This window comes from Homo sapiens, chromosome 19, assembly GCF_000001405.40.
Source record: "Homo sapiens chromosome 19, GRCh38.p14 Primary Assembly".
In the NCBI taxonomy this organism is placed as follows: Eukaryota; Metazoa; Chordata; class Mammalia; order Primates; family Hominidae; genus Homo; species Homo sapiens.
In genome coordinates, this window is record NC_000019.10 from 51,436,420 (window position 1) to 51,459,641 (window position 23,222).

General features: G+C 47.8%; 1 protein-coding gene across 3 annotated transcripts, besides 3 other annotated features; it reads right to left on the reverse strand.

Moving 5' to 3' along the window:
- Nucleotides 2,213–2,383: a silencer, noted in NCBI's record as "fragment chr19:51941886-51942056 (GRCh37/hg19 assembly coordinates)". NCBI's record gives its function as "represses an EF-1alpha promoter that drives an FKBP-Casp9 reporter gene in an ReSE screen in K562 erythroleukemia cells {active_cell/tissue: K562}" and the evidence as "EXISTENCE:reporter gene assay evidence [ECO:0000049][PMID:32094911]".
- Nucleotides 4,904–5,193: an enhancer, noted in NCBI's record as "active region_15019". NCBI's record gives its function as "activates an Ori minimal core promoter by ATAC-STARR-seq in GM12878 lymphoblastoid cells {active_cell/tissue: GM12878}" and the evidence as "EXISTENCE:reporter gene assay evidence [ECO:0000049][PMID:35858748]".
- Nucleotides 5,494–5,633: an enhancer, noted in NCBI's record as "active region_15020". NCBI's record gives its function as "activates an Ori minimal core promoter by ATAC-STARR-seq in GM12878 lymphoblastoid cells {active_cell/tissue: GM12878}" and the evidence as "EXISTENCE:reporter gene assay evidence [ECO:0000049][PMID:35858748]".
- SIGLEC8 (sialic acid binding Ig like lectin 8) lies at nucleotides 14,578–22,035 on the reverse strand. 3 transcript variants are annotated; one of them, XM_011526734.3, is made up of 7 exons: nucleotides 21,515–22,035; nucleotides 21,042–21,287; nucleotides 20,765–20,812; nucleotides 18,999–19,268; nucleotides 18,265–18,361; nucleotides 17,800–17,896; nucleotides 14,578–16,214 (listed from the first exon to the last, which is right to left on the reverse strand). In XM_011526734.3, exons 1-7 carry the CDS (start codon nucleotides 21,966–21,968, stop codon nucleotides 15,960–15,962), a joined length of 1,467 nt encoding a protein of 488 aa, XP_011525036.1. In that variant the 5' UTR covers nucleotides 21,969–22,035; the 3' UTR covers nucleotides 14,578–15,959. The 3 variants fall into 3 exon arrangements, with proteins under 3 accessions (XP_011525036.1, NP_055257.2, NP_001350477.1); NM_014442.3 differs by having other exon boundaries at nucleotides 21,042–21,320; NM_001363548.1 differs by lacking the exon at nucleotides 21,042–21,287.
- Between the last annotated feature and the right edge of the window lie 1,187 nt (nucleotides 22,036–23,222).

Sequence of the window (23,222 nt, forward strand, 5' to 3'; positions counted from 1 at the left end):
TTTATGAGCGAATAGGTTGACTGGAGTTTGAACTTCTGGGTTCAAACCCTCAGAAGTTCAAGGTTCAATCCCCCATTGACCTATTCCCACACTCGATATCCATGATAAGAATGATTCTCAGGGTACATTGGGCTTGTTGACAAAGAAAGGAGGATTTTTTATAAGAATTTCCATCTCTGACTTTTGTCCAACAATTAGATTCTATTCCTTGTTTCTAAATGAAAATATGAAGAAACACATCCTTTCGGAACTAAAATAAATAACACTTTGAAGTTGAAACAGAGAAAATATGAGGCTGCACATGGAATTAGTAGGAAATTATGCTCTCATTTGAGGTTATTCTGATTTCGCCAAGGAAGATTTAAGCTCAAAAGGTAAGGTGGACAGGGAATCACCCCATGGTGAGACACATAGGGATATTCGGGCATAGAGTACAAGCTAATTAAGCTTGATATGTACGAGGAATTTCTCTTAGTAATCAATGAGAATGTGAAGTGTACAGAAAATAACTTTTGATGAACAAGGAAGAGCACATGAATTTACATACAAGAAATCTTTCCTCACTGGGCAAAAAGCTCATTCAATTTCTTTCTTTTTTTCAAGCCAGAGTCTCTGTCACCCAGGCAGGAGTGCAGTGGCATGATCTTGACTCACTGCAGCCTCAACCTCCTTGGTTCAAGAGATTCTTGTACCTCAGCCTCCCAACTAGCTGGGATTACAGTCGTGTGTCACCACGTCCCACTAGTTTTTTGAATTTTTGGTAGAGATGAGGTTTTGCTATGTTGGCCAGGCTGGTCTCAAACTCCTGGCCTCAAGTAATCCTCCCAGCTTGGCCTCCCAAAATGCTGGAATTACAGGTGTGAGCCATCATGCCCAGCTTTATTCAGTTCCTTAAGGAGGATGAGCAGCATTGAGCGGATGGGAATGTGCCTTCTCTGGAGACAGGTTTGCATGTAGAGATGCCATCATAATTTATAAGGACAGGTTTTCTCTTTTTTCCTATTTTTTAGAGATGGTGTTTTGCCATGTTTCCCAGGCTAGTCTCCAACTCCTGGGCTCAAATGATCCACTTGCCTTGACCTCCCAAAGTGCTGGGATTACAGATGTGAGCCACTGTGTATGGCTTTCTTTTTTCCTTTCCTTTTCTTTTCTTTTCCTTTTTAGACGGAGTCTCACTCTGTCACTCAGGCTGGAGTGCAGTGGTGCGATCTCGGCTCACTTCAACCTCCACCTCCTTGGTTCAAGCGATTCTCCTGCCTCAGCCTACCGAGTAGCTGGAACTCCAGGCGCGCACCACCATGCCCAGCTAATTTTTGTATTTTTAGTAGAGACAGGGTTTCACCATGCTGGCCAGGATGGTCTCCATCTCTTGACCTTGTGATCCGCCCACCTCGGCCTCCCAAAGTGCTGGGATTATAAGCGTGAGCCACCGCGCCCGACCCCAGGACAGGTTTTCTAAGGCTCATGGCCCTTGGCCATTTGCTGCATGATCTCCATCTCCATAGGGCTTTGTAGCAGCTCTCATTGCCTCTCCCACAATTCATGCATCAGGCAATGCCCAGGAACCACAAGAGTATAATTAATATTCACATTCAAAATCATAGTTGTTTCTATTCAATGTTATAGCATGCTTTTTTTTTTTTTTTTGGCTTTTAATGAAAAAAAGCATTGATTTCTGTTGTCTTGGAAATCAGAGGGGTAGACCTGGCTTCAACGGTGGCTGGATTTCAGGGTCCGATGATATAAGGGCTCATCTCTCTGTTTGCTTTTGGCTCTTGTTCTTGTTTGTTGTTGCTGCTGTGGTTGTTCATTTATTCTGCCTGGTTTTTGTTCTCAGGCTAATAAATGTAGGAGCTCTGATGTCCACTTTGCAGATGAGGACGCTGAGGCATACAGAGATCAAGTAATTTCCCTTCTGAGGCAGAGTCCGTGGACTTCCCACAGCCCCATGACACCCCCTTATGGCTGTGTATCCAACTCAACATTCCCTGCCCTGATCAGGGCGCCCCCTGCTGCTCACCCAGAGATTTGCCAGGATCCCTGCACCAATCTCCTCCACCCTTTTTGACTCCCAAATGCTTCTTGACACCTGACTCCCACCCTGTCACTCAGAGACTAACCTATGTCAAGATTTACAAACTCCCCGGGTGCGGTGGCTCACGCCTGTAATCCCAGCACTTTGGGAGCCCGAGGCGGGCGGATCACCTGAGGTCAGGAGTTCGAGACGAGCCTGGCCAACATAGGGAAACCCCCATCTCTACTAAAAATACAAAAAGTAGCTGGGCGTTGTGGCAGGCGCCTGCAATCCCAGCTATTTTGGGAGGCTGAGGCGACAGAATCGCTTGAACCTGAGAGTCAGAGGTTGCAGTGAGCCGAGATCGCGCCATTGCACTCCAGCCTGGACAACGAGAGAGAAACTCTGTCTCAAAAAAGAAGAAGAAAAAAAAAAAAACTAAACAAACAAAAAACAAACCCCCAAAAACAAAGATTTACAATCTTACCAAACAGGAATGGTAACTACAGGAAGTAGTTACTATCTGAGGTTATTGGTAATGTTATTGCTATTGTTAATGTCACTTTTTTTTCCCACTCCCATTTTCTCTGGAAGCCGTTTGGGAGGTCCTGCCTCTCACCTTCTCTATCCACTTCTTACTCCTACCAGAGGTTGTAGACAAAGATGAGGGTTGATGCATTGTGCAACTCTGTGGCTCCCCCTAGTGATATGATACATTTGGGGTGATGGGGTTTGCCTAGACAGGGCCCCAAGGATGCTGGTAGGGAGCAGGTAGGGAACCCCACCTTGTGTACAGCTCCTCAAAAATCCCAGGTTAACATTCCATTTGGTCTCCAGGCCTGATAAATGGGGAGGAGTGGCTGTTCATTAGTGTGCACTCTGGCTGCACCGGGCAGGACTTTGCCCCGGGAGGGACTGTGACGTTCTGCTCTCTTGGTAAGAAGGTACAAAGCTGGGCTCCAGAAATGGATTGAGAGCTCCTTGGGTCTGCTCCCCAGGCTGCCACCCGCCCCCAGGTGAGCCCTGGATACTGCTATTCCTGACTGAAGAGACAGGGTTTTGGACAAGGTGCTCCAGAAGGCCAGATTTCTCTCTGGGCAAGGTTCATGTGTTTCCCACACAAGTCTACTTCTGGGATTCTTCATGGATCTACAAATCGGACTAGGCAAAAGCTGTGCATGCTGCTGTGTATACAAAATAGTAAACCCTGATATAGACGATGGACTTTGGGTGCTAATACCGTATCAATGGAGGTTCATCAAGTATGACAAATGTACCACTCTGGTGGGAGATGCTGATAATAGAGGAGGTTATGCATGTGTGGGGGCAGGTGGTATATGGAGAATCTCTGTACCTTCTGCTCAATCTGTGAACCTAAACTGCTCTAAAAATTATGTCTATCCCGTCATATGCTTCTGGGAAAAATTGTCTATATATATTTTTTAAATGGAAAGAACTGGCTGGGCATAGTGGCTCAAGCCTACATCTCAGCACTTAAGGAGGCTGAAGTGGGAGGATTGCTTGAGTCCATGAGTTTGAGATCAGCCTGGGCAACATAGGCAGACTCTGTCTCTACAAAAAAAAAAAAAAAATTAGCTAGGCATGGTAGTGCATGCTTGTGGTCCCAGCTACTCGGGAGGCTGAGGCAGGAGGACTGCCTGAGCCTGGAGGGTTGAGGCTGCAGTGAACCATGATCATGCCACTGCACTCCAGCCTGGGCAACAGAGCAAGACCCTGTTTCAAAACAAATTGAAAAAAGCTTAATGCTCCTAAATAGGGTATTGGTTGAATAAGTCAACACACATCAAATTCAGTGGAATACTATGCAGCCATGAATAATTAACAGTAGTGGTGCAGAGCTGTTGCTTCTCCAGTGGGGATCCAGGACCCAAGGGCAGGGCGTGAAAAGTGCTTCAGAGGAGCTAAAGGCAGAAGGTCCACTTTGCATATCTTCTGGGGATGTCATTTATACTCAAATACTGAGTCAGGTCAATCAGACAACTTTAGTGACAATGAATGCATTATTTTCCCGTTGAAACTAACAGAAACGTGTTTTTCCATAGGCCACAAACATTCATAGGGACTTTCAGAGTAAAACAGAAGACTTCAGAGATATTTTGTAATTATATCTAGATACAGAAGACTTGAGATATTTTGTAAATATATGCTAGACACTCAGAGCTGTATATTCACCTTCCTCTGATTAAATTTGCCCTTAATGTTTCAGAATTCCTAATAAAGGACATTTAAGAATATGATCCCACTTTGGTAAACATTATGTATATGTGCATGAGTGTATATAACACATCAAAACTGAAAAGAGAGGATGGCAGATTGCAGGCATTGTTAGCCGGCCTCTCCCACCTTGGAAAGATGAAACAGTGTATAAAGATTTATGTTGTGACCTTTTCACCAGGGACCAACACAGGAACTTAACAGGAAAACTGGAAGAAACCACAGACCTTTCTAAAGAAACGGTGGGCAGCAGCCTACACCACGAGCCAGACAGAAAACTGTGAGTCCCCACAGTGTGAGAAGGGGAGAGACTGACTCAGGGATGTGCACTCCCACTGGGGTGCCACGCAGTCCAGGCCACAGGAGGGGGAAGCCCTCACCCTGCCCAGCACTGGAGCTGAGTTAGGGAGCGTTGGGGAGTAGATAAGGAGTCACATTGGGATGTGCTTGGCGTGCAGTCCTGGGCTCCAGCAGGGACAGAGGGAAGCCATTCCCGATGCTACCTCACAGGGGGCCTTGCAGAAGCCAGCTAGCTGACTCAGGAGGCGGTCACGGGTTGAGAGAAGCTCCCGACTGAGATCTGCAATGTCATCTTGAGTGGGGAAAGTAGACTTGCCCGAAATCTAAGACTCATAGGTGTTCTTGAGGGAGAAGAAAAAGCAAAAAGTTGAGAAAATTCAATGATTGGAAAGATACAGAATCAACCTAAGTGCTCTTCAACCCGAAGGAAAGGCTACAAAAGAATACACATCCCTGAGTCAGTCTCTCCCCTTCTCACACTGTGGGGACTCACAGTTTTCTGCCTGGCTCGTGGTGTAGGCTGCTGCCCACCGCTTCTTTAGAAAGGTCTGTGGTTTCTTCCAGTTTTCCTGTGAAGTCTCTGTGTTGCTCCCTGGTGCAGCTGCAGCGTAAGTAGGTTAGACAGGCGTTTCACAGCCTCCCTTACACAGCCTCCCTTAAAGGGAAACACATTTGCTAAATAGACGGAGAGAACAATCCGCCGGACAGCTCGCAAACCCCGACAGCGCATAAACCGCATCCTGGGCTCGTGGTCAAAACATCCTGTAGCAAGGAGGTAGAAGGGAAGAAGGGACAGTCCCCATATCCGTGCAAGTGCAGAAACCCATGCTTAGGTAGTGTCCTTGGGCTGACCTATGCTCATTATAATAGTGAAAACACACCCTCACGTGGAGACTTAAGGTGCTACTGAGACAGCGATGTATATGCACTAGCATGTACAGCCATTGCGCATGCGGGCCTAACAGACCACCCAGAACACGCTTAAGAGCAACACCGTCCCACCCACGCATGAGTAATCACGGAAGATTCCCCTAAAGGGAGTTTCCCCAGCGTCAGTCAGCGCTGTCTCACCTTTGAGCAGCCGCTCTGACCAGCTGTTAAGAGTGCACGTTCACTTTGCAATTAACTCTCTTGCTTACTTTTACCTTGGACTCACTCTCGAATTCTTTTCTTGAGGCAAAGTCAAGAACCGGAACTGGCCCACCAGCCATAGCAGGGGAGACTGTGTGTGCCGCGGTGCAGGCAGCACTCATGCCGGGAATGGTGAGGATGGCACCAGCTTGTCGGATTTTTTGTTGGCATTTGTGTTTGTTTCTCTACTCACCACCCAAGTGATAAAATAGGATCCTTGGTGTGGAACTTAGAATTATGCCAAAAAGCTAACAGTTCTCCTTTCTAGCCAGCTACAAAGCCAGACCATGCCCACCACTGCCATGCTTGCAAAACGGGTCACCACGGCCTGTAGGTGAGCAGTTGTGTAGGAGAAAAGAATCCAATTTTTTTGTGTGCTCTTTACTATTATGTAGACAGCTCCGTCTTCAGCCCACACTTTGGTTCCCTGTGGATTTCAGTTTGTGTCCTGTGTCTGAGGACAGCGGACTGAATACAGTGATTTTTTACCTCCAATAAATGTCATCCCGCTGCCCTTCCTGTGCCTCGAGGGTTGTCTGTTTTTCTCTTTCTTTTTCTTTCTTTCTCTTTCTTTCTTTCTTGCTTACTTTTCTTTCTTTCCTTCCTTCCTTCCTTTTCTTTCTTTCTTGTCTCCTTCCTTCCTTCCTTAACTCCTTCTTTCTTTTTGACAGAGTCTTGCTCTGTCACTCAGGCTGAAGTGCAGTGGCATTATCCCAGCTCACTGCAACCTCCACCTTCCAGGTTCAAGCGATTCTCCTGCCTCAGCCTCCCGAGTAGCTGGGATTACAGGCGCTCGCCACCACGCCCAGCTAATTTTTTGCATTTTTAGTAGAGACGGGGTTTCTCCATGGTGCCCAGGATTGTCTTGATCTCTTGACCTCGTGATCTGCCTACCTCGGCCTCCCAAAGTGCTGGGATTACAGGTGTGAGCCACCGCACCCGGCCCTGTTTTTCACTTTCTTTTTTTTTTTTTCCACAGGATTAAAATTATTTATTGAATAGACATTTATGGAGCATCTATTATAACAGGAAAAAGTACCAGGCCCTGAAGACACAAGAATAAAATCAAGCGTTTACAACTTACAAAAGGAGAAAGACAAGTACACCACAGTGTACAGCAATATTTATAGTACTGACATAAAGTAGTCATAGATATGGTGTTCGGGGGAGCAGTGAAGGACAAGGACCAGGACAGGGAACTCCATTTTGAGCAGAGTATTAAAAGATGACTAGGATAAAATCTTAAAGAAACGATATGCTATGCATTCCATGAAAACAAAACGAAAAACACCAGTGTGCTCTGCCTATCAGGATTCAAGCTGCCTTGTAAATATTACTAATTATTCATATTAGGAACACACTAGTCAACTCCATTAAAAAGCCACTTTCCATCCCTGCATAATGGTAGCTCTATGAATTTGTGATTCAGACCATATTCCCTCAAACAAATGCATTACTAAACTTTGACTAGACATCAGAATTGTTAAACAATAACAAAATAAAATTGAACAACTGAATAAAGCTGAAGCCCTGAACAGCCTAACTGGAAAAGGAGAAGACCCTTTAATTGGTCATATACACCTCTTGACCTGTATTTGGCAATCTGCTCTCCGACCGTCAACAGATAAGCAGCACAGCCCTCAAGGTTGGAGACTGATCTTTGGTAAAGCAGGCATCCATCCCAGATGCTGCTGTCTCCCGTACACAGCCCTCAGAGCCAAGGGAGGCCTGGAACCTGAGAAGTTTATTTCCAATTAGGACAGTTGCCTATACTTCTCATTCGAAGCATCCAGAGACAAGGGCCAGCCCAACCCCCAATGCCAGGAGCCAAGGCAGCATTATCTTCTGTATGAGTTCCTGACCCAGAGGTGACCTGCACGATTTCTTCTGTGTCCGCTGAGGGCCATGGAAGAATTTTCTCAGCTCGGCTATTATGTAAACTCTAATCTTACCAGTGGCAACATGGCAACCACAAATCCCAAGTCCCAGGAGGATTATACTTAATGGAGAGAACTCACTGGTCTATTGGGACTATTGGCACTGCAAAAATGCCATAAAGAGCTATTTATGACAAACCCACAGCCAATATCATACTGAATGGGCAAAAACTGGAAGCATTCCCTTTGAAAACTGGCACAGGACAGGGATGCCCTCTCTCACCACTCCTATTCAACATAGTGTTGGAAGTTCTGGCCAGGGCAATCAGGCAGGAGAAAGAAATAAGGGGTATTCGATTAGGAAAAAAGGAAGTCAAATTGTCCCTTTTTGCAGATGACATGATTGTAAATTTAGAAAACCCCATTGTCTCAGCCCAAAATCTCCTTAAGCTGATAAGCAACTTCAGCAAAGTCTCAGGATACAAAATCAATGTGCAAAAATCACAAGCATTCTTATACACCAATAACAGACAAACAGAGAGCCAAATCATGAGTGAACTCCCATTCACAATTGCTTCAAAGAGAATAAAATACCTAGGAATCCAACTTATAAGGGATATGAAGGACCTCTTCAAGGAGAACTACAAACCACTGCTCAACGAAATAAAAGAGGACACAAACAAATGGAAGAACATTCCATGCTCATGGATAGGAAGAATCAATATCATGAAAATGGCCATACCGCCCAAGGTGATTTATAGATTCAATGCCATCCCCATCAAGCTACCAATGACTTTCTTCACATAATTGGAAAAAAAGTACTTTAAAGTTCATACGGAACCAAAAAAGAGCCCTCATTGCCAAGACAATCCTAAGCCAAAAGAACAAAGATGGAGGCATCACACTACCTGACTTCAAACTATACTACAGGGCTACAGTAACCAAAACAGCATTATACTGGTACCAAAACAGAGATATAGACCAATGGAACAGAACAGAGCCCTGAGAAATAATACCACACATCTACAACCATCTGATCTTTGACAAACCTGACAAAAACAAGAAATGGGGAAAGGATTCCCTGTTTAATAAATGGTGCTGGGAAAACTGGCTAGCCTTATGTAGAAAGCTGAAACTGGATCCATTCCTTACACCTTATACAAAAATTAATTCAAGATGGATTAAAGACTTACATGTTAGACCTAAAACCATAAAAACCCTAGAAGAAAACCTAGGCAATACCATTCAGGACATAGGCATGGGCAAGGACTTCATGTCTAAAACACCAAAAGCAATGGCAACAAAAGCCAAAATTGACAAATGGGATCGAATTAAACTAAAGAGCTTTTGCACAGCAAAAGAAACTACCATCAGAGTGAACAGGCAACCTAAAGAATGGGAGAAAATTTTTGTAATCTACTCATCTGACAAACAGCTAATATCCAGAATCTACAAAGAACTCAAACAAATTTACAAGAAAAAAACAAACAACCCCATCAACAAGTGGGCGAAGGATATGAATAGACAGTTCTCAAAAGAAGACATTTATGCAGCTAACAGACACATGAGAAAATGCTCATCATCACTGGCCATCAGAGAAATGCAAATCAAAACCACAATGAGATACCATCTCACACCAGTTGGAATGGCGATCACTAAAAAGTCAGGAAACAACAGGTGCTGGAGTGGACGTGGAGAAATAGGAACACTTTTACACTGTTTGTGGGACTGTAAACTGGTTCAACCATTGTGGAAGACAGTGTGGCAATTTCTCAAGGATCTAGAACTAGAAATACCATTTGACCCAGCCATCCCATTACTGGGTATATACCCAAAGGATTATAAATCATGCTGCTATAAAGGCACATGCACACATATATTTATTGCAGCACTATTCACAATAGCAAATACTTGGAACCAAACCAAGTGTCCATCAATGATAGACTGGATTAAGAAAATGTGGCACATATACACCATGGAATACTATGTTTTTCACTTTCACTGTGGTTGTTTGGCAACTGAATCCACTCAATATGCAATAGACAAGACAGAGATCGAGAGAAGGAGAAATGAGAAGCCCATGTGGGAGCAGAGGCTGCAATAGGAAAGGATGAAGCCTGTTTTTGTGGATCCCCCTCACTCCCCTGATGAATCCCTTCTTCAGCTACTGGTTTAGGCGACTGCTGATGAAACCCAGAAGAGGAAGACTGGGTTTGTCCGTATGAGGCCCCTCTCATCAGGCTGGAACTTGGTAACTGGCTTTCACTTATTTATTTGGAGTCTGAAAGGAATCAACAGCTCTTTTGGGACCAATGGGGCAAATGGAACCTACACAAACCAATCGCTTGCAGCAAGCCGTGTTTTATAGATCTATAAATCTATAAAACATTTACAAATGCAATGTTTTTAATATATTTATAAATATATAAATTTGGATTTTCCAAATCAGGTGAAGCTCTCCTCAGTCCCCACCTGTATAACTAAAGAAAGATGTGTGGCTATGCAAAGAAGCCAAACGTCATTACCTTCCTGTAGAATTAGGGTTTTTGTTAATAATACTTCGCAATTTCTAAGAAGTTGTTTGGGATATTACATGGGTTATTAAAATTCTGTGTACTGAGTTATTTTTCAATCATGAAGGAAAAAAAAAGTCAATCCACTGAACAAGAATTTACCAAGCAGTCATTTCAGGGAGTTCCCGTTGAACCTGTGATTCGGTAGTGCACTCCCTTGATCACAGCAGGGACGTTTAAAGAGAAAGACATTTTGGTCTGGATTAGCTCTAACGCTAGACACTGAAGTTACAAGAAATCTGTATACTGAATGGCAAAGGCGACTTCCAGTACACTCCCCGCTGTCTGGGAAGAGGCATCCTTTGACCGTTTTAGCAAATCTGTTTATGTGTCTGTGCACGTGTGCACGTGCATGCCTGTGTCAAAATTGGGAGTGTTGCTTAGGCAGTGTAACGTTTCACAGTTGTGTGCAGCAAACAAGCTGGTTTTTAGAAACTAGCAGCCAGCGTTTCAGGGAGGAGGGAGAGCTGCCACAGGGTCCTCCCTGTGGGTTACTATGAATGCACTGTATATTGGAGAATATCTCGATCCAAACAACAGTCATTCCTGAGTGGTCCTTTTGTATCTGGAATTGGTTCCTTCTGGTGGGTTCTTGGTCTCGCTGACTTCAAGAATGAAGCTGCAGACCCTCGCGGTGAGTGTTATAGTTCTTAAAGAATGGTGTGTCCAGAGTTTGTTCCTTCAGATGTTCAGATGTGTCCGGAGTTTCTTTCTTCCAGTGGGTTCGTGGTCTCGCTGACTTCAGGAGTGAATCCGCAGACCTTTGCAGTGAGTGTTACAGCTCTTAAAGATGGCACGTCCGGAATTCTTTGTTCCTCCCAGTGGGTTCCTGGTCTCGCTGGCTTCAGGAGTGAAGCTGCAGACCTCTGCAGTGTTACAGCTCATAAAGGTAGTGCGGACCCAAACAGCGAGCAGCTGCAAGATTTATTCTGAACAGTGAAAGAACAAGGATTCCACAACATGGAAGGGGACCTGAGCGGGTTCCTGCTACTGACTAGGGTGGCCAGTGTTTATTCCCTTCTTTGGCCCCACCCACATCCTGCTGATTGGTCCATTTTACAGAGTGCTGATTGGTCCATTTTACAGAGTGCTGATTGGTCCATTTTACAGAGTGCTTAGTGGTCTGTTTTTACAGAGTGCTGATTGGTGCATTTACAAACCTTTAGCTAGACACAGAGCACTGATTGGTGCGTTTTTACAGAGTGCTGACTGGTGCATTTTTACAGAGTGCTGATTGGTGTGTTTACAAACCTTTAGCTAGAGACAGAGTGCTGATTGGTGCATTTTTACAGAGTGCTGATTGGTGCGTTTACAAACCTTTAGCTAGACAGAAAAGTTCTCCAAGTCCCTACTGGACCCAGGAAGTCCGGCTCGCTTCACCTCTCACTTTGTTGCTCTCCTGTTTTAATTTTATTTTGAAACTCTTGGGTGCGTCAGGGTCTTGGTACTGATTTATTGTTGTTGATCCAGCCAAATTAGCCATGTAAAAATAGCACCTGTGTAAGAGACGAGCAGCATCTTGGTAGCCTGATACTTTGGGCAGCTTGATGCTGATGGTGGTGTGTGGGAAGAGAGGGGATACCAATCACAAGATAGGAGAGGAGGGCCTGGCCCTTGGGCACCTCTGGGAAAGCGTAGGGAACACGAGGCAGCCAGCCCCTGGCAGGGGAGACTGTGTGTGCCGTGGTGCGGTGCAGGCAGCACTCATGCCGGGAATGGTCAGGATGGCACCAGCTTATTGGATTTTTTGTTGGCATTTATGTTTGTCTCTGTACTCACCACCCAAGTGATAAAATAGGATCCTTGGTGCGGAACTTAAAATTATGCCAGAAAGCTAGCAGTTCTCCTCCTTGGGGACTTGTCTTAAACTTGCCTGGTTTGTACGTTTCTGGCCGGACACGTGAAGAAGCAATCTGTGACAAGTCTGAGGGTCTTCCTTTCAACCTGCCTCCCACGCGAAGAAAAGTCGGTGTTTCCCTTCTGGGAACTGTTGTGAATTTCTCTTTATCTGTGAACTGTTTTGGTTTTGTTTTTAATTGCTCTGTACTCCCTCTGAATCAAGGCTTCTACCACTGCCGGTGAAAACCACAAAGGGATCTGCTTGAGGCGCCATCCTGGCCAAGAGAGCAAACCTGCAGGAGGTTTGGAAATGGACTCAGTCTCTGCAAAAGCGTGTGCACTATTAGGGGATGAACTGTGTCACAGCCAGGGGCACAAAGCTCGTGTTGTAGGTGATCCAGGAGACGTGAGTTCCCAGAGATTGTTTTGTGCATTCATTTGCACACTGTTGTCGGGGTTGGACTTGTGTTTCAGGCTTCAATGTGAGGCTCGTGATATGCATGTCCTGTTTATCAGTAAAAAAAAGTTATCAAAGTGGTTGAATCCTGTGACTTGGCAAGTATGTGAGAATCCAGTACACATGACTCTTCAACTTCTTCCTTTAATGTCACTTTTATAGGAAATAGAAGTAACCAATATGACAGTTCTCAAAAAAATAAAACAAAATAAAAATTAGGTCCTGAGCAGGAAAACCAAATGAAAAAAGTGGAAACAGGGCACCTGGAAATCTAAGGCTTTGCTGTGCTTTTCTGTATTTCCCAATTTTCCCAACAGTGAGCTTTGATTTTTGTGTTTTTGTTTGTTTTCTTGCTTGTTTTATAACCAGGTCAAAACAATGTAAGCAAATATAAAAATAAATAAATAATAAACTAAAGGAAACATAAAGTGAGTGCTGGGTGAGAGGTGCCTCTGTTCCCCTGATTAAGGCACCCTTTGTGCCTTGGGGCAGCTGCCTGGATTCGACCTGGACCCTCTACTTGCTGGCCTGTGTGGTGCTGAGCAGCTTACCCGGGCTCCTCTGTGACCTGGGTAGAGCCAGCCCTCTTGAGAGTCACTCTGAGGCCTGCAGAGACAGGATGGGTCCAGTTCCCAGTGCATAGCAGGTGCCAGCAGGTGTGTTGGTGTCAGGTGTGTTGGCTTCTTAGGGCTTCCATATCAAATTCCCACAAACTTGGTGACTTAAAGCCACAGAAATTTATTCTTTGACGTTATGAAGGCCAAATGTCCCAAGTCATGGTGTCATTGGGCTGTCTCCCTCGGAAAGTGCTGGGAAGACTCTTCCTGGCGTCTTCTAGCTTCTGGGGGCTGTGGCAGCAAAACCCCAACCTCTGCCTCCGCTGTCACGTGGCCTTCCTCCCTATGTGTGTCTTGTGTTCAATTTCCCTTATTGCATTAGGACACCAGTCATGGCACTTAGGGCCCACCTCATACAGTATGACCTCCTAATATTAGCTTGGCTACATCTGCAAAGACTATTTCCAAATAAAGCCACAGACATAGATACTGGGAGTTAGGACTTGAACATATCTCTCTGGGGGACAAGATTCAACCCACAACAACTCCATTATCAGGATGATGAGACCCTCTGATGTTTCCTGTGTCCATCTCCAGCCCCTCCCTCTGTCCCTCCTGAGCTGCTGAATGTCATCTCCACAGGACATCCTGGATACTCTCGAAAGGCCAGCATGGGAATCCAACCTCATTGTTCCTATCTCAGCCCTGCCCCAAATCCTAGAGAGAAATGGAAACATCTCAATACACTATCATACAAATATGTTCACAGCAGCTGTCTTGATAATTGCCACAACCAAAACAGTATCAATGAATAGGAAAAAATAAGGGAATGAATTGTGATTTGCTCATACAATGCAATGGTGTCCTACTCAGCAATAAAGAGGAAAAGATACTGACACACACAGCATGGATGAATCTCAAAACATGCAATGCGGCCGGGTGCGGTGGCTCATGCCTGTAATCCCAGCACTTTGGGAGGCCGAGGTGGGTGGATCACAAGGTCAGGAGATCGAGACTATCCTGGCCAACATGGTGAAACCATGTCTCTACTAAAAATACAAAAATTAGCTGGGTGTGGTGGCGTGCGCCTGTAGTTCCAGCTACTCAGGAGGCTGAGGCAGGAGAATCACTTGAACTCGGGAGGTGGAGGCTGCAGTGAGCCGAGATCACGCCACTGCACTCCAGCCTGGGAGACAGAGTGAGACTCTGTCTTCAACAACAACAACAACAACAACAACAACAACGCAACACTGAGTGAAAAACAAAAGACACAAGAATACACATTGGGTGATGCCAATTATATGAAGTTCAAGGGACATGGAAAATAATATCTGGTGATAGGAATCAGAAAGTGGTGGCTCTCAGGGCTAGGGATTGACTGGGAAGGACACCAGGATCTTTCTGGAGTGAAGGAAAATTTCTCTATCCTTGATTGAGAAGCTGGTTACACAGGGGTGCATGTTTGGCAACACTCATGGCATGGCACATGTAAGAGCTGCGTGATTCAACTGAAAAGCTAACGCTATTTTTAAATTTCAAAGAACAATGTGTTAGCCTGTTTTCACACTGCTATTAAGAAATACCTGAGACTGAGTAATTTATAAATGAAAGAGGTGTAATTGACTCACAGTTCCACATGGCGGGGGAGGCCTCAGGAAACTTACAATCATGGCGGAAGGGGAACCAGGCACATCTTACATGGTGGCAGGCAAGAGAGAAGAGCAGGGGAAACCACCACTTACAAAACCATCAGATCTCGTGATAACTCACTCACTATCAGAACAGCATGGGGGAACCACCCCCATGATCCTATCACCTCCCACCAGGTCCCTCCCCCAACACATGGGGATTATAATTCTGATTACAATTCTAGATAAGATTTGGGTGGGGACACAGCCAAACCATATCAAACAAACAACCTGCAATAAAAAAAAACGTTTTAAATTGGGGGTAAACAAAATAAGTACAGACCCGCCATACAGGTTGGGCAGGGGGTCCCGGCCTTCATCTCCTCAGTGCACCTGTCTTGTTCCTGAGACTCTAGGCCATTGCTGCTCCCTCTTTTGTAAAAGTCAATGCCCTCAAGGAATTTATTTCCTGAAAACTTATGGCTAAGGGGTGCCCAGCCTGCTGATTGCTTGACTCAGTGCTAGATGAGAGAAGAGACCTCAGAATCGGACAGGCTTTAAATTCCAGCCCTGTCCTGAGTAGCCGAGTGGCCTTGAGAGAGACCCAGTGAGATTTCCACACCCGGATACATCGTGGAACCATCAAGGCACAATGATTAGCACACCCATCTGTGCAAATATTTATCTGTTTTTGTGAGACCATTTAAAATCTTCTTTTAGCTCCTTGAAAATATTCAATGCAAGCTGGGTGCGGTGGCTCATGCCTGAAATCCCAGCACTTTGGGAGGCCAAGGCAGGCAGATCACTTGAGGTCAGGAGTTTGAGACTAGCCTGGCCCACTTATAGTGAAACCCCGTCTCTACTAAAAAATACAAAAATTAGCTGGGCGTGGTGACACACGCCTGTAGTACCAGCTACTTGGGAAGCTGAGGCAGGAGAATCGTTTGAACCCAGGAGGTGGAGGTTGCAGTGAGCAGAGATTGAACCACTGCACTCCAGCCTGGGCAACAGAGCGAAACTCCATCTCTCAAAGAAAAAAAAATATTCAGTGCTTGATTCTGTCATTTGAGAGAACATGGATGAACCTAGGGGATATTTTTTTGTGTAAAATGAGCCACACACAGAGAGGCAAGTACCACATGACCTCATCTCTATGTGGAATCTAAAATAGTCAACCTCAGAGAGGTCGAGAGGAGAATGGTGGGTAGTAGAAGCTAGAGGCAGGGATGGGTCCCTGGTAGCCGGGGAAAGGGGAGACATTGGTCCAAGTTTTGGTTAGACAGGAGGAGGGAGCCCTGGTGACCTACTGCATAGCATGGGGCTCTAGAGGGTTCTTGTTCTATGAGAATCAGCCTCTGACTTCTTTGCTGGAGGGGTTGTGATTCCTCAAACAGGCCTGAGTCTCTGCAGTTTCTCGCTTGTGGATCTTGATCTCCGAGTATTCACTGTCAGTGGCCTCCTGTCCCTGCGGGTCCTGAGGCTTCACTTTATGGAAGCTGAGGGTTGCATAATGGAGCTCTCCTTCCTCCCCTGACGAGGGGGCAACAGCTGGGGGAGGCTTCTTCAGGGGGTTGCCATCTTTCCAGGATTCAGTCAGGGGTCCCTGGACAGAGAGAGAGAAGGGAGTCAGAACAGAGCAGTGGGGCCAGGATGAGGCAGGGAGAGTCCAGGAAGGAGGCCCAGGAGGTCCGTCCTCCATTCATCCCACCTGCATTTTTGTCGAAGTGTCTTTCATGCTTTCCTCCAACATTTAACACTTACTGAGCACCTGTTTGGTGTTTACTAATCTCATTAACTTCCCGCAACAACTCCATAGTGAGATATTATTATTATCTCCACTTTATAAATATGAAAACTGAGGTCGAAACAGTCAGCACTGCGCCCAAAGTCCCTGTTGCAGCAGGACCCAATCCATCTGTTCCTTCTGACCCCAAAGCCTGGAGTCCTGCTGAGGCCCCCGTGTGTGAGGCCCTGAGCCGGTGCTGGATAAACTATGATGGACATGGTAGGTGTGGGCCCTGACCTCCTGCAGCTCAGTTTTTGTTTTGTTTTGTTTTGTTTTTTGGTTTTTTTTTTGAGACAGAGTCTGGCTCTGTTGCCCAGGCTGGAGTGCAGTGGTGCAATCCCAGCTCACTGCACCCTCCACTTCCTGGGCTCAAGGGATCATTCCATCTCAGCCCCCCAAGTAGCTGGGACTGCAGGAACTCACCACCATGCCTGGTTAAGTTTTGCATTTTTTTGTAGAGATGGGATCTCATTATGTTGCCCAGGCTGGTCTCAAACTCCTGGGCTCAAGCGATCCTCCTACCTTGGCCTCCCAAAGTGGCAGCTCAGTCTTTAATTGAGGGAGGTGGCAACAAATGACTGTTAAAGAAATGAATATCAGCTTGGGTGCGGTGGCTCATGCCCCTAATCCTAACACTTTGGGAGGCTGAGGCGGGCGGATCACGAGGTCAGGAGTTCGAGACCAGCTGGCCGACATGGTGAAACCCCGTCTCTACTAAAAATACAAAAATTAGCCTGGCTTGGTGGCGCGTGCCTGTAATCCTGGCTACTTGGGAGGCTGAGGCAGGAGAATTGCTTGAACCTGGGAGGCAGAGGTTGCAGTGAGCCGAGATTGCCCCACTGCACTCCAGCCTAGGTGACAGAGCAAGATTCTGCCTCGAGAAAAAAATAAAAATAAGAAATGAGTATCTACATGTAAATTATGATACAACGGGCAAAACGAGAGTAAATGAGAGAGAATTACAGGGCCTTAATTGAGACATGATACCTGACCTGGGGAAGCTCACAGGTTAGTGGCGTAAGGATGACAAGCCGGTCAAAGAAATCAGGTCCCGCCAATAGGAAAAATAATGAGAGGGGTCAGGATGGCTGGGGCCAGGGAGAAGAGATGCCAGCTATTCTTGGGGAGGAAAAATGGAGGAGAGATGGTGAATCGGGGCTATAGAGAAGAAAAGGAGGACAGAGAGGAGATAACTCCTACTCAGTGCCTGGCCTGGGAAAAATTGGGGGTAGGGACTGCCATGCTGTCAGCAAGATGGGGGAGTCCTGTAGAAGCCGGCCTGTGGGAAGGAGGAGGAGACGAGGAAGTGACTTTGGCCATACCAAAGAGAGCGATCCTGGGGGCCATCCTGTCAGAGGTGTCCAGGCTGGATGCTCGGTGTGGAGAAGCCCACATCACTCACCTGAGAGGCCGAGCCCCTGATGGCCTTTGCATCTTCCATGCCTGTATCCCCCACGCCCGCTGCTGGCCTTGCCGATTTCTTCCTGCAGGACCTCACTCTGAGTGAAGAGACCAGAGAGCCTTTCAGTGTGGTCAGATCGGGGTGCAGTGGGCAGACCAACCCCTGCCCTGTATTTCCTACTGGGGGCTTGAGGGGTGACCGAGGCGCAACGGCGGTGGTCCAGTTCCAGAGACCCCAACGGTGAAAACAGAGGCTCCTGCCTCATGGATGGTGGGGCCCGAGGTTGCTACAGATGTGGAGCCCCACAGACAAGGACGCTCGTGAAATGCTCACCGTGCACCCGTGAGCTCATTCTTGCCCCAAGCCCTGGACCCATCCAGGTCCTTCCAGCTCTGGCTTCAGGGATTCTGTTCCCGGTCTGCCCTGCCCCAGGTCTCTCTCTCCCTCCCCAGGGTCAATGCTCACATGATGAAGATGATGCAGAAGGACAGGAAGGCCAGGGCTGTGGCTCCAGCTCCCCCGACTGCTGCCAGTGTCACTTGTGATACAGGTCTTGAGGTGCCTGCAGATGGATTGGAGTTGCTTTGGGGATTTATATCACGGAGAAGTGGGTCTCTTCCCCTCCCACTGTCTGCAGGGCCCTAGACTTCCATTCCCCTCTTCTCCTTCCCAGACACAGAATACGAATGGGAGGGAGGAAAGGAGACTACTTCTGAGGCCAGTGAGGCATGAGAGTGCTGGATGCAGCTTGTCTTGCCTTTATTTACAATTTTGATATTGTGTTCTTGTGGAATCATTTTGCATTCAATTTTAGTTTTTTCAAAAGATCATGGCATTGCAATATTACTTTACTTGCTTTCTGAGTTGGGTTTTTCTTTGGCTTCTTAAATTTGGTGCCAAGGCAAGTGCCTCATGTGCCTCATCCTAGTCTAAGCACTGCAAAGCAAGGCGCTTGTCCCTCCAAACACACCTGGCCGGGCCCCAGCTCCTCCCCTCCAAGACCCACTCCTCCCCTCTCCCCACCCCGCACCCCTTTCCTGGCGGGGAGAGGACAGTGATGCTCTGGGTCGCAGGGAAGTTCCAGGCCTCACAGCTGAGCACAGACCAGAGCTGAGCTCCCCCTTGAAGCTCAGGGGCAGTGGGTGGTCCATGAGGGTGGGGCAGGTGTGTTCTCCTCCTCCAGCCCCTCCCTTACCCACCTGTGCCCTCATTCTGCAGGGAGAGGCTCAGGGAAATGTGCTGGGAGCCCTGAGCGTTCTGAGCTCGGCAGGTGAATTCCCCTTCATCCCTCACGTGCACTCGAGGCAGCTCCAGCAGCCCAGGGTTTGAGGACCGTGAGGGGCACAGGGTCAGGCTCCCCCGGGTCCAGCTCAGCCTGGCAGGGGGATTGCTGTTGACAGCACAGACCAGGCGCAGAGACTGGCCCTCAAGGACTGAAAGAGATGAGCCATTTCCCAGGGCTGTGGATGCTGCAGAGAAAGAGACAGAGGGTCATCCCATTACTGGGTATATACCCAAAGGATTATAAATCATGCTGCTATAAAGACACATGCACATGTATGTTTATTGTGGCACTATTCACAATAGCAAAGACTTGGAACCAGCCCAAATGTCCAACAATGATAGACTGGATTAAGAAAATGTGGCACATATACACCATGGAATACTATGCAGCCACAAAAAATGATGAGTTCATGTCCTTTGTAGGGACATGGATGAAGCTGGAAACCATCATTCTCAGCAAACTATTGCAAGGACAAAAAAACAAACACCGCATGTTCTCACTCATAAGTGGGAACTGAACAATGAGAACACATGGACACAGGAAGGGGAACATCACACACCGGGGACTGTTGTGGGGTGGGGGGAGGGATAGCATTAGGAGATATACCTAATGCTAAATGACAAGTTACTGGGGGCAGCACACCAACATGGCACATGTATACATATGTAACAAACCTGCACGTTGTGCACATGTATCCTAAAACTTAAAGTATAATAATAATAATAATAATAAAAGGAGACAGAGGGTCAGAGAGACAAATGGATCCAGAGAAAGAGGAAGGACACAGAAAGAGACTAGTGAGAGGGACTGACACACAGACATAGACTGAAGTGCAGGAAAACGCACACTCAGTGCTGGGAATGTAAACTTGTCCACTTTTAATTGAGAACAACTTCACTGCATCTTTCAAAATTAGAAACAACATACGACACTGGTATATTTTGCTTTTAGGAATTTATCCCATACACTTAGATATTCCTGTGGAAGTAGATACAAGACTATCCACTGCACAGTTTCTGCGGAAGGATATTTGTGCCATGATTTTCCTTAAGGGATGCCACAAAGTCAGAGTCCATCTGTGCAGTGAAATCACACACGGTCCTAGAGGACGGGGTGGACAGTCTCACTACGATGTCAAACCACCTCTGAGATCCTCCAGGTGCACAAACCAAGACTCAGGGCAGCCTGGACGGACGCTGGTCAGTTCCGTGGAGGGGGATGGGCACTGGAGGACAGACTTTGCTGTGCATTTTGAATTTCTGCCCATGTGACTGTATCATCTGGGCAGAAGTACTTAGATCGAAACTACTGGGAAAACAGAAAGATCAGACAGAGGAAGTATTCAGGAGATGCCTGACAAGAAACTTGAAAGTCTGGTCCCAAAATAAAAACGAACAAAAACCAAAAAAATTGGGAGTCTGATCCAGCTGTGTGAATGTCACCCTGTCCTTGCTGTGGGGCCAAGGAAGGGGTGTGTGGAGGAGTCTAAGGGGAGCAGGGACAGGATGGGGACAGGGGCTCAGATGGTCACGCGGGCTGGAGATGTGGGCTCTTGTGCCCTGGGCTCACGCACAGTGGCAGCTCTGTTTCCCAAAGTGATTCCAGGATGAGGAGAGACCCAGCCCCATCCTGAGCTGAAGGCCCTGCTCCCCCAACCCCAGGGAGGGGGCTCTGTCCTACCTGTGGCATCTCCTTGGAAGACAGTCATGGTCAAGTTCCAAGGAGGGTCTGGGACAGAAAGACATGAAGACCCACATTACTATAAGGACTGGGGACATTGGCCCTGTCTTCCCAGGAGCTGCAAATACAGGGAAAATGGAGTCGGCATTCTCCTGACCCCACTCCCAGCCCAGATTCTGGGACCCAGAACCCAGTGTCCAGGCTTGAACCCCATCCCCTGCCCTCAGGAACACCTCCCAACCCATGAGGGACCTGGGCATCTTGGTCCAGCACTCACAGGACACATCGAGGCGGACGGTACTGGTCGTGGTCACACCTGTCCCAGGCAAGGTCACCTGACAGGTGAGGCTGGTGCCGTGGTCCTGGGGCTTTGGGGTAAGGGTGAGCACTGAGGAGCGGGCAGTAGTGGGGCCCGGGGAGGACACGGAGGCCCCAATCCAGGAGATCATGGGGGGTGTCCCCTGCTTACAGGCCCAGGGCACAGAGCAGGTCAGGTTCCTGGAGTGGCCAGACTCTAGGGTCCCTAGGATGAGGATGTCAGGCCTATGGGTCAGGGCTGGTGAAGATGGGGACACAGGATCAGGAGGAGGTATTTCAGGTGCAGCCCTGGAGGAAGCTCAAGCTCTGGTCCAGCTCCTCCCCGGAGACCGACTTATTTCAATCCCAACCCCCTCCCAGGCCCCATCCCAGCCCTGCCTTTCAGCCCCTCATGACCTTCCCCTGTGGCCTGTGCTGGAGCCCGTGCCTTACCTGTCACAAACACAGACAGCTGCTTAGTTTTGTAATTCAACTGTGATTTGTAACTCCATTTCATGCTTCCTCTCTCTAGCCGAAAGAAATATGACCCCTTATCCCTCTTCCTGGCGTCTCTGATGCTCAGGGAGCAGTCGTTGCTCCAAATGTCCCCAAGGAGTTGGAATCGGCCCTGGGTCTCTGCCTGCACTTCTCTGTCTGGGTTGTTTGTGGCCACTGGAGCGTCTTGGTATGGTCTGTCTCCTGCCCGGAACCAGTAGCCATGAACTGGGTCAGAGTCAGTCCAGCCATCCTGGGGGTAGGAGAAGGAGCAGGGCACATGGACACACAGGCCCTCCTGCACCGTCACCAGCTCCTGCACTTGCAGCAAGTAACCATCCCCATATTGTCTGTCTCCCTCCATCCCCTTTGTCCCCCAGAGCAGGGGCAGCAGCAGCAGCAGCAGCAGCATGTCTGGGTTTGAAGGCGCCAGGGCCGCCAGGGAACGTCTGTTCCTCAGGGTTCTTCTCTCAGAAACTGAGGTCTCAAGACTTAGGGGAGGTCCCGCAGGAGGTTGGGGGTGAAGTCAGAAAAGTGACCTCCTCAGAGGAGGAACTTCACACACAGACACTGTCAGGGCCGGGTCAGTCCTGGGAGATCCACTGTCCACCACCCCATTTCCACTCCTGGGAACCCTGAGGCCAGAGAGGGTGAGAAACTCATCCAGATTCCCACCCTATGCAGGGCCCAACCTCTTTCTTGCTTCCCGGACTTGCCCTTCCATTTGGGTAACATTTTCTGCAAGGTGAAATTGGGTCCCATCTGGCCAGACCCCTGAATCACCCCCGGGGCTGTCACTGTTTGTGGAGGTCATACCAGCCAAAGGTGGAACTCAGGGCCATGAGAGACTGGGGTGCAGGTGAGGTGAGCAGGCAGCCTCTCCTCCCTCTCTCAGCAGCAACGAAGTGGGCACCTCCTCTTTACACAACGAGGTCAACAGAGCAGAGCCAGACACTGTCCTCAAGGAGTCACTGTGCAGAGGGGAGACACGGAGGCTCCTGACGTCTGAGCTCCCCAGGACGGGAGCTTCAGTGGGGGGCACAGGCAAGGTGGGGTCGTTCTCCCCTAGGTCAGGGGTTCAGTCTCAGGAGGCCTGAGCAGAGGGACACGGGGCTGTGGAGGTGAGGATTCTGCATGTTGATACACACGAAGGACGGGGGGCGGGGGGAAGCCTGGCTCGCAGGAGGCCTGGGAAACTGAGGCTGTAACTGTTGTACTGTGGGGTTTGGAAGGGAGAAATGTCAGAAGGGAAAGGGTCAATTTGAAAAGGGCACACACTTCTCCCTTTGTTGCAGCTATCTGGGTATCAGAATGGGTTTCTTCACCACCCGTATCTTACTCAGCCACACTTCCCCTGGTTACTGCACAGCAGGCGGGGTCTGTCAGCCCTGGGGCTTTGCTCCTGCAGGCTCTGCTTCCAGGGGTCCAGGTGAACAGGTGTCATGGAACGAGGACACCAGCCCTGGGGTGTGCACCTTCAGCGATGGGCAGGATTTCTTGAGAGAAGAAATGTGCACCTGAATTCAACAGATGATGATGATGATGATGATGATGATGATGATTATTATTATTATTATTATTATTATTATTTGAGACGGAGTCTCTCTCTGTCGCCAGGCTGGAGTGCAGTGGCGCGATCCCGGCTCACTGCAACCTCTGACTCCCT

Bases quoted from the DNA above. Each gene is read 5' to 3' on its own strand.
- SIGLEC8 (NM_014442.3), bottom strand. From the start codon at position 21,968: ATGCTGCTGCTGCTGCTGCTGCTGCCCCTGCTCTGGGGGACAAAGGGG. The intron at 19,269-20,764 runs GTAGGACAGAGC...CTTTCTCTGCAG, and splicing joins CTTCCAAGGAGATGCCACAG to CATCCACAGCCCTGGGAAAT. The intron at 17,897-18,264 runs GTGAGCATTGAC...CTCTTCACTCAG, and splicing joins TTCTGCATCATCTTCATCAT to AGTGAGGTCCTGCAGGAAGA.